Source organism: Homo sapiens, chromosome Y (assembly GCF_000001405.40).
Source record: "Homo sapiens chromosome Y, GRCh38.p14 Primary Assembly".
Taxonomy (NCBI): Eukaryota; Metazoa; Chordata; class Mammalia; order Primates; family Hominidae; genus Homo; species Homo sapiens.
The window spans coordinates 25,805,969-25,817,484 of record NC_000024.10 but is presented as its reverse complement, the minus strand read 5'-3'; the positions used below and the strand labels follow the sequence as shown (position 1 = coordinate 25,817,484).

General features: G+C 37.6%; 2 pseudogenes; both read right to left on the bottom strand.

Moving 5' to 3' along the window:
• CDY22P (chromodomain Y-linked 22 pseudogene) lies at positions 1,652–4,893 on the bottom strand (annotated as a pseudogene).
• Positions 8,851–10,181, bottom strand: CDY21P (chromodomain Y-linked 21 pseudogene; annotated as a pseudogene).

Below are 11,516 nucleotides of genomic sequence, written 5' to 3'. Positions count from 1 at the left end.
AAGCATGTTTACTAATGTAAGGTACCCTTTGTAACACACTAGAGGCCAATGTGTACATGTCCAGAAAAAGAGAGAGAGAGAGAGTAATTCCTGGAAGCCCTCTGGTTATACAAAAAACAGCATTTTAATGTAGGATCATGTTTTTTTTTTTGTTTGTTTTTTTAATCTGAGTAACTGTGTGCATGTCTTAAGCCCCCACACACACAAAGTTGGATATTTTATTTATTTGCATGGGCCACAGGATTGTGCAGGATTCTTCAATTTGTGTCTGCAGCCTGATTTTTCAGGCTGTTTCTCTGCTTGTCAAAATTTTACCAGTAATCGATAATTATGTAGCTTTTCATTCTCAATATTATTGAAGACCTAGATAGTTTCTGAGGGTGGGAAGGCAAATTGTTTGAAGTTGCCTATGTGCAAAGCATTTTTGCCCTGTGAAGCAACCCAAATCTTTGTAACTATTGTAAAATTGTTCATGCCTTCTTAGCAGTTATATCAGAAAAGCCCACAGTAAGCAGCTACCAAACATCGGAGAAACATTCACCCTGGAAACTCTCAAAAGCAAATTTTGTTGCCCCACTTTTTCTCATATTCTTGATCTAGAGAACCTTTTAGTCACATCATCATCAGATCTTCCAATTTTAACATCCAACCCTCCAAGTCCATTACTACCCCTATAGGAAATGCCCAATGAATGAGTTGTCTGTAAAGTGCAAGTTTCTTTTTCATTACAGTACCTTAAACAAATAAATTAAGATGTGGGGAAGTTTTCTGATACCTCAGTTTATATAGAGAGACTTTCTAATATCTAGCTTTTTTATCTCATCCTCCATAGGAAGATGTTATGTTATTCCTAAGCCAAAATCTTACTGCTTCTGTGAAATAGACAGCCCTGCAGGCAACAGAAAGATGCTGTGGCAAACAGCATTTGTTCTATAGCATGTCATAATAAATGCAAAGCAGTGAAAGAGAGACTGAGTGAAGAAAAGATAAGATCCTAATTTCCAGTAGCAAGACAGAGAGCCCTTTGAAAGCCTTAATTTGAGCCCTAGTGATTCCATAGATAAGTTAAAAAAAATAAAGAAAGAAAGAAAAAAGAAAGCAGGGCTTTGGCCCTTAAAAGGGCCCAGATCCAAACCTTTCCCAAGCCAGGGCTGTGACAACACCTTTGGATCTCTGCAGTTTCTGTCATTTCTATGTATCTGGATTCCACTGCCTTCTTCAGTGCCTGCAGAAAAGAAAGCTTGTGGTATGGCTGATTCACCTAAAAATTTGCAGGGAGCTGTCACCTGTACCAGCACCTGACCTGCTTGTCTGATACCAGATAATATGCCTAGCTGTGTGAAGTGGATGGGCTCAACCATCACTTACTCATACATCTGCCTCCATTCTGTGCCTGGCGCATCCATAGTGAAATGAAACCTAAGCCCATAGTTTGAGCTGAGTGCAGCCTGCAAGATGGGTTTGCACAATTAGAAAGCAGGCTCAAGAGAAACTTGCGCAAAGGTGCCATCATCCACAGAGATTCTTGGCTGTCGAAGTGACACCCTAGAGTTCCTGAGCCAAAGGTGAAATTCCTCACCAGTGGCCACTGGATTGTTCAATTATGCCTATGCAATGGAGCCTCCATAAAAACGTACAGAACAGGATTCAGAGAGCTTCTGGGTAGCTGAACACATACAATGTTCTAGAAAATTGTGTGCACATAACAACAGACAATGATAATTTCAAATTTCATACAGAGTGTAGGGGGCTTTTATTTGTTTTGAAGGAAGTTTCTGCCTTTAGTAATGTGTCCATAATTTTAACTTATTAACTAGAACATACTCCAAGTTAACCTAAAACTAAATCTGTACATTATAAAGTTTAGAACTTGGATATTTCCACAAAAATGATTCCATAATTCACTAATAGGGTGCAACAAGTTTTACTTTAGACAGATAAATATTCTTTTGTCAACTGGGTAACAATTAGACATTTATAATAGAAAAGAAAATCAAGTGATATCTCAACAAAAATTTGAATCATATGTTCAGTTTAGGAGAATGATCAGTGAATTTTGTGTCAGAAATATTTATTCTAAAAGATAAGATTTTTAATTTATAATTTTGTGTCTCTGAAGTATTTGTGCCACTATAAAGTCAAAGGCACCATCTCTGATAGTTCTGTGCCTTTCTTTGTGGTAGGGAAGCTGAGGCTGCCTCATACCCCAGTAGACTCTGTATTCTAGGATATAAAAATGAGAAAAATAAACACTATTACAGAATTATCTGTCATCCACATCTAATAAAACACAATTCTGGTTATATATATAGTAGTAGCCATAGACACAAATTAGGGCAGTCTAGTACCCATCAGTCTGCTTTTGTATTTGGTCTTATATGTGCATAAAATAATCACATTTGGGCAAATAAGCTGTTTTATTACTCATTTAATGTTGCAGTGCTTAAAAATGCCTTGATAATTTAAATACATAGCTTGGATCTTTCCAATTCTCTTTCCAAGCCTTAGCTGTGATTGAAATTGTTTTGGGCAATGAAGACAGCAAATCCTTATGCATTTGTTTCAGCTTAGTTCTTGTGTCCTGAGCAGACAGACTGACAACTAAATCTCATCAGTTTTATTCTACACATACTTAAACAAGGATTCCTTTTTTTTTTTTTTTTTTAGTGCAGTGGTGCGATTTTGGCTCACTGCAAGCTCTGCCTCCTGCGTTCATGCCATTCTCCTGCCTCAGCCTCCCAAGTAGCAGGGAGTACAGGCTCCCATTACCACACCTGGCTAATTTTTTTGCATATTTTTTGTAGAGACCGGGTTTCACCATGTTAGCCAGGATGGTCTCGATCTCCTGACCTCATGATCCACCCACCTTGGCCTCCCAAAGTGCAGGGATTACAGGCGTGAGTCACCGTGACCGGCCACTTCAACATGGATTCTATCCCTTGTGCTGACCCCATATCTTCCTCAGCACCTCCAACTCCATCTTAATATTACAGTGAACAAGAGCCATACATTCTTCCAGTGCATCTTGATTACATGAGGCAAGCTCCTTAATTTGAATCACAACCCCTTGGGTGAAAGTTGCAGTCAAAAACGCTTGAGAGACCAGGCGTTTGGCACATGCCTCCCATGCTGTCAGCTTTTGCCCAGCATTAATATTTCATTGGCAGATGCTTCACCCATCATTTTTGAAAATGTAACAGTAGAACAGCCATCTGGACTGTGTCCAAAAGCTGCATAAGAGGTTTGGAACCAAGACTTTTCATTAGCCCACACGAGATCACGAAGAGGCAGTATGGATTCACCTAGTCCAGTGACAGGGCCATTGACTGATACAACAATAGGCTTTTTAAATTGAATAAAAGTATTCACAAAGTTCTTGATGGTGTCCACAATCTCAAGGCTTGCTCTCTGTCATTCCTTAAGTGCTTCACAAAGTACCCAAAATCAAGACCATAGCAAAAGACATTTCCAGCTGCACAGAACAGCACAAGCTTGCTGTCATCCACAACATCCCTATTCAGAGCATTAACCATTTCTTTAAGTACTTCTGTATTCACTGCATATTTTTCTGTCGATTGAGTTGATAGCGATATTTGGGTGAATCCATCCTCTTTCTTCACGAGAATGTGTCTGTATGTGCTGGAATTTTCTGTTAGCCTTATAGTGAAGTACATCTTCTTGATAAAAGGCTGGTCTCTGCCATCATCAGTGACATTTATTTGCCCTCATTTCCCTCTTGGAACTGATGTATGCATGTCTGTTGTTCTATTGGCTGCTAATGGGTCTGTTAATGTCACTATACCTTTTTTTGGTAGCTGAGCCTGTGGCCAAGGAAGCAGTAAGTGAGCCAGACATCTGAGACATTAGCAGGTGTATCTGGGTCCTGTTCTCTATTCCAACCTGTTCTGCACCAGAACCTGATAAAGTCCTGATGGGCTTCCCTTCTATCCCCTTGAAGACCACTGTGTCCTGCAGATCTACCATAAAGGGGTCCAGTTTCTCAAGCTCCTGAAAGCCACTCACAGTTTTCTTGTTAAAGGGACTGTGAGGTGCAAATGTCTTCATAGTTGAGTTTACTGGCTCCATATTCTTGTGTCAAAGAGAAGTGAAGCTGCCTTTCTCCTAACATTCTTGCTGGCAGCAAATAACTGGCTGTTTTTGGATTTGTGGTGTTTGCCAGTCACTAGCATGTTAGGAGAGTTCTTAGAAAACTTGGGGTTGGTAGATCTGGAAGTTCCTCTAGTATGGTTTGAAAAAGTTCTACTTGCTCTGGTCCATGTATTTTTTTTTCTGTTTTTCAGTCTGTCGTCTGTTAAAATCATACATTTTTCACAGTTCATGAGGTGCTGCTTTGGTTCCCAAGTGTCATACTGCTTGTCATAAGCTTTCCACTTAACCAAATACTCTATATTCACATTTTTTCCTTGTCTTTTGTCAACAATAGTTTCAACCTCAAACTCCTGGGAATCCATGAAGAAAGACACAGGATTGGAGCAGTTGCTGTGAGCTTTATTTCAGTTGCATCTCTACACAGCCACTTCTTTCTGCCTCCAGTCCTTCACCAGGTTCTGAGTATGGATGAGCCTCTTCTACTTCATTGCCACTGGTGCAGTGAAAATTGTGTGAAATAGCAGCTATGCTATGTGCCTTAGGCTCTTCACACTTTCTCCCTGGTAGGACAGCTTGGGCTTTATCTCATGGAGCATGATACCTGGCTCAGTAGCCTCAGATAAGAGTAGCTAAATCCACAGCCCCTATTCTCTGGTATACAGAAAGCCTTCTTTCTGCCTGTTACTCTTTTGTGTTTGTTTGTTTGTTTTGACTAGTTGTGGTTGCTATGATGATTAAATTGAACATTCGAATGTTATAACATTTTGAAAGTTACACTAGCTTACCTTTAGTAACATACAAAACCTTTACTCCTGTATAACTTAACTCCATTATTTCAGTTATTGAGTTCTCAAAATTGTACCTTGATGCATTGTATGTCAAAAACACAAATTAGTGGTAGTGTTGCAGGAAGTCAGGGACCCTGAGCGGCGGGACCTGCTGAAGCCATGGCAGAGGAACATAAATTGTGAAGATTTCATGGACATTTGTTAGTTCCCCAAATGAATACTTTTATAATTTCTTACACCTGTCTTTACTGCAACCTGCAAACATGAATTGTGAAGATCTCATGGACATTTATCACTTCCCTTATCAATACTCTTGTGATTTCCTATGCCTGTCTTTACTTTAATCTCTTAATCTCATCATCTTTTTTAAGCTGAGGATCTATATTGCCTCAAAACCCTGTGAAGATTGAGTTAACTGCACAAATTGTTTGTAAAGCATTTGTGTTTAAACAATATGAAATCTAGGCACCTTGAAAAAAGAACAGGATAACAACAATGTTTAGGGAATGGGGAGATAACCATCAGGTCTGACTGCCTGAGAGACAGGCAGAACAGAGTCACGTTTCTCTTCTTACAAAAGTGAATAGGAGAAATATCACTTTTTGTTTGTTTGGTTGGTTTTTTGTTTTGTTTTGTTTTGTTTTGTTTTGTTTTTTTTCTCAGCAAGGAACAGCCCTGAGAAACACAATGTGTTCTTAAAAGAAGGACTCTGAAATGGCTGCTCTGGGAATGTCTGTCTTTTACGGTTGCAGATAAGGGAAGAAATAAGCCTCAGTCTCCCATAGTGCTCGAAGGCCTATTAGGATGAGGAAATCCTGCCTAGCAAGTTTTAGTCATAACGGTTGTCTGCTCTCAAACCCTGTCTCCTGATAAGATGTTTTCAATGACAATATGTGCCCAAAACTTCATTAGCAATTTTAATTTTGCCCTAGTGCTCTGCCCCCATTTGCCTTGTGATATGTTATTGCCTTATGAAGCATGTGATCTCTGTGACCCACACCCTATTTTTACACTCCCTCCCATTTGAAAATCGCTAATAAAAACTTGTTGGTTTTGCTGATTGAGGAGCATTACAGAACCTGCCGACATGTGAAGTCTCCCCTGGACACCCTGCTTTAAAATTTCTCTCTTTTGTACTCTTTCCCTTTATTTCTCATACTGGCTGACATTTAGGGAAAATAGAAAATAAATTACATTGAATTATCAGTGGTGGTTCCCCCAATAATGGTAGTTTTTTTTTTATTAAATATATGAGTGTTTTCTTGAAGTGTAGCTTACTGGTTAAGGGTGCCAGCTTTTATCTGGGAGTGTTATAATTTGTCCCACACATTTGATGGACAATTTATTGGACCATAAGTTTTAGGTTTGACAGTTTTTTCTGATATCACTTGGAATATATTAGTCTACTGCTTTCTGTCATCTTAGTTGTCAGATAAGAAATCCACCAGTTATTCAGTGGTTATTCAGATAAGAAATTCACTGGTTATTTTTGAGGGTCCCTTTTACATGACTAGCCACTTCCCTTGCTTCCCTTGAAAATCCTCAAGATTCTCTTTGTATTTGTTTTAGACAGTTCAATTATCAGGTAAGTTTGAGTTTGTTTGTTGAGTTTCTATTACTTGGAGTTTGTTGAGATTCTTGGGTGCTTATTTATTGTCTTAAATTGTTACCTTCTTTATGCCTATTTTGTTAAGTAGTGTCCTTGATTCTTTCTCTCTTCTTTCGAATTTCCAAATTGCATAAGTATGGCTGATTGATGGTGTCCCTCAGGTTTCTAGGCTGCATGAAGCTACCTTGACCCTTTCCAACCTGTACTGGTGACCAGTACATGGTTGACTGCCCCCAAGTCTGTGTATTACAGTGTTTCAAGGCTAATGCATCCCAGAGCTCAATTCCAATACTTCAATCATTTCAGTCTCACTCATACACCACAATATAAAAGTCTCTAATTGTGAGGTATCACACAGAGCTATTTGTCCCATGGCCAAGAAAATTAAGGAGAATGGATGCAAACAATTTGAAGCAAAATTTTGATAAGTGAAAGTAAAAAAGCTCTTCACAGTGGAGGTGGAATGCAAATGGTTTACCTACTATGAGATTGGGATTTATGGTTTCTAAAGGCAGGGAAGTAAAATAATGTGCTTAGTGGTCTTAGAGTAAGTGTTATTTGGCTTGGCCCTGAACATTTTTCTTGGATTCATCTGGAACTGAAGTTATGATTTATAGAAGCTACTAAGCTCAGCCTTGGAACTTGGCCCTGGACAAAAAAGGAAGTGACAACTCAGCCTGAGACCTTGGCTTGGGACCAATCACAGGCTGAAGTAATGTCTCGTGGCCACAATAATTAAGGAGTCTGCATGATGCAAAGTTCAATTAGGAACAAAAGGTTAACAAGCAAAAGAAGAAAACTCCTGACAGTGAAGAAGGGATTTGAGAGAGTTTCCAACTGTAAAGCTTGGTCAGGGCTTTCTATGAACTGTAAAGAACAAAATTTTCTGAGGTGTCTCTGAGCTGTCTTGAAGAAAGCACTACTTAGCTAGTTTCAGTACCTGGTCTGGGAAAAATGAGAGGCTAAAGTAAAAGCTTTGTCTGGAACATTGGGCTGAGGAAAAGCAGAAGCTGAAGAGATAATTCATAAATGCTTGGCTCATATGTCCAAAATAGAGAAAAAATTACATCAGAACCCACTGGAGCCTACCGTGTGTCATGCCCACAAATGGAGGAGTGTGTATTTTCTTGAAGTCTGCTGATTATATGAATGGCAAAGGCATTTATTCTTTTGGCCTCATTCCTTTATCTTTACAGCCATGAATATGTTTTAGGCAAAAATGACAAAGTCATTTCTATATTCTGCCTTGTTGCCTTATTAGTGCAGTTGTGGATATATCTTAAGGCTATCATCATCTTAAATTTTTTTTTTATCAGTGTCTGCATCCTATGTTTTCAGGCTGTTCCCCTGTGTAAAAGAGTTTTTCCAAAAACTGCTTCTAGCTTCCTCACTTCTTTTTTCTCTCACACTTTCATGAAGGTAATTTTGTATATTTTGTAGATTAAACAACATTTGTGTTAAGGGCTTTTCTGTGCAGTTTTTTACTTTTGTCATGGAATCTATCAAAGTTCACATTAGAGTACATTTGAAATTTTTGTGTTAGCCATGTTCAATTTGTACTTTCTTCTTTTAAAATAAATGTTTTTAATAAAGGAGTACATTGTTTTAATGCTTAGAATTCAAAATTTGAAACTCTAGTCCTGGGGTTTTCTTTTTAGTAGCTGTAAGTTTGTAAAGCATGTTTGATGTTTGTCTGCTTTCTGCTATAAAACTCCTAAAACCTTTGGAATCTCCAAAGTGCTGTCTGTTAATATGATAATATTGATGTAGATCTGCACACTGGGGCTTTTCAATGAAAATCCAAGGCATGATTTAATGGTAGGAACTCTCAGATGAACTCTGCATCATTCTGAAATGGGAGAGATGCTGCAGGTAATGGCAGCAGCAGCCCATTTAGAGAGGCTGCTGCAAAGATTTCAGGTGCAATGAGGGAGGTGAAGCCAGAGCTGTACACTCTGTGAAACTGGTGGAAACAGAGAAAAGGCAGAAACCACACTCACATCCAAGTGGAATTATAAGGAGCCCCACCTACTCAGGAACAGTGGCAGCTGCCCCACCACAGCTGCAGACTCAAGCACCCATCTACTTTCCAAGGTGTGGGAAGCCATCCTTCCAACAAATTCCCTGTAGTTCCTATTCCCATTGCCTGGCCTCTCCAAGCTCCCAGTGCCCACTCTGACATTGTGCAAATGTGCCATCATCCACAGTTTCTTTGCTGGTGAAGCCATACCCTAGAGATCCTGTGACAAATGTCATTCATCAACAATGGCCAGTGGATTATTCAATTATGCCTATATAATGGAACTTCCATAGAAACCAACAGGAAAGGATTCAGAAAGCTTCTGGTAGCTGAACAGGTAGAGTATTCTATAAAATTGTGTGCACGTAAAAACAGACACCAATAATTTTAAATGTCATGCTGAGTGTAGGAGTCTTTTCCTTACTTTGAAAGAAGTTTCTGTTTTTAATAATGTGTCCAGAATTTTAACTTGTTAACTAGAACATACTCTAAGTTAATCTATGTCTGCACAGGATGAACATTAAAACATGGATATTTCCACAAAAATGATTCCATAATTCACTAATAGAGTGCAATATGTTTTACACTTAGAAAGATAAAGGTTTCTTTATGTTAACTGAGTAAGAACTAGACATTTATAAAATAAAAGAAAAGTTATATCTCAACATAAATTCTAACCATATGTTGAGTTTGGCAGAATGATCATCAGTGAATTTTGTGTCAGAAATATTTATCCTAAAAGACAAGTCTTTTAATTTAGAATGTTGTTTCTCTGAGTTATGTGTGACACTGTAAAGTCAAAGACACAATTACTGATAATTCTGTGTCTTGTTTTTGTGGGAGGGAGTAGAGGTTGCCTCATACCCCAGTAGCATCTGCATTCTAAGGTAAAAATAAATAATAAAAACAAACATTATTACACAAATTTTTGCCATTCAAATCTAATAAAACACAATTCTGGTCTTATATATCATAGTAGACATAGATAAAATTTAGATCTTGCAAGAACAGTTTAGTGCTCACCAGTCTGCTTTTATATTTGGGCTTGTGTATGCATGAAATAATCACATTTAGGCAATGAAGCTGTTTTATTACTTATTTTAAAGTTACAGTGCTTAAAAATGTTTTGATAATTTAAATACATAGCTTGGACATTTCCAGTTCTCTGTATTCCCATTTTTGTCTTGTTTTGTGTCAACAAGAGGTTCAACCTCAAACACCTGGGAAGCCATGAAGAAAGACACAGGATTGGAGCAGTTGCTGTGCCAACTTTCTTTCAGTTGTCTCCACATAGCCACTTGTTTCTGCCTCCAGTGCTTCACCAGTTTCTGTGTATGGATGAGCCCCTTCCACTTTGTCGCCACTGGTTTAGTGAAAGTTGTGTAAAATAGGAGCTGTGCTCTCTGCCTGAAAGTCTCCACACTCACTCCCTGATGTGACAGCTTGGGCTCTGTGTCATGGTGCCATGATAGGTGGCTCAGTAGCCTCAGGTGAGAGGAGCTAAATCCACAGCTCCTACTCTCTGATGTAGTACAGAACGCTTTCTACCTGCCTTTTACCCTTTTACTTTTTTAATTGTCATTGATAATATGACTACATTCAATATTTTAAAGTTATTCCACTTTTAAAGTTATGCTGGCTTACCTTCAATAACATACAAATCTCTTACCTCTGTATAGCTTCACCCCAATTATTTCACTTATTGAGTTCTCAAAATCATACCTTTATGTATTGTATGTCAAAAACACAACTGGATGATAGTATTTTTCTTAAATATATTAGTGTTTTAAATTATATGGGAAACAAACTGTGGAGGTGCACATTGCTAATTTTTTATGTTTTGTAATTGTTAAGGTATTTATCTTTGCTTTATATATACTCATTTTTGCTACTGTTGAATGTCTGTTCATTTTACCATGAAGGACCCCATAAGGCATTTTTTAAAAAGTAGTCTACTGGTAAAAGTCCCAGCTTTTATCTGGAAATGTCATAATTTCTCCTTCACTTATGAATGACAATTTTTTGAACATAAGATTTCCGTTCAAAAGTTTTTTCTTACATCATTTGGTATTTGTTAGTCTATTGCTTTCTGTCTTCTGAGTTTTCAGATAAGAAATCTGCTGATTATTGTTGAGGTTTCTTTGAACATGATTAGTCACTTCTTTTGCTGCTTTCAAGATTTTCTCTCTCTTTCTTTTACAGAGTTTAGTTATCATAGAATTTGAGTTTGTTGCTTTGAGTTTCTCTAACTTGGAGTTTTTTGATCTTGGTATTCTTTGCCACTGTTGTTTCTAAATAGTCTCCCTGATTCTTTGTCTCACCCTTTCCACTTCCATTATGTGTAAATATGGCTGCTTGATAGTGTCCCACAGCATTCTAGGCTGTGTTCTCATTTCCTTATTTTTTTCTTTCCTTTCATAATGTAATAAATAATGTCAACTACCCTTTCTTTACTATGCTGATATTTTGTTCTTCCCCTGCTCATATCTGCTTTTAAATATCTGTAGCAAATTTTTCTTACTTTTATCTCTAGACTTTTTAGGTTATAAAATAACTTTACTCTTTTTATTAATAAGTTTTGTTCATATTTTTTGAGCTTCTTTTGTTTATTATATTATCTTAACATGAAGCTTAATTGTTAACTAAAATGTTTTAGTAAGACTGCCATTTGGGCTGTCTAAAAAAACCTCCTTCGTAATTTTTTTATGTTCTTAAAATAAGCCATACTTGTCTATTTCATTCTGTAATTTGTGATTTTGCTTGCGCTGAAAAAGAGCATTTAAATTTTAAAGTGCTGTAACACTGAAAATACCATTTTCTTCTTCTATGGTTTGGTAAGGTTTTGTTTATTATATAGGCTTTTTCTCTCCTGTAAGTCAGCCTTACTGAGCTTCTTCTTGGGTCTTTTTTGAGCCTCATTGTTTTGGGGCACATATCATTAAAGCCACAATTCATTATATATATATGTGTGTGTGTATATATATATATA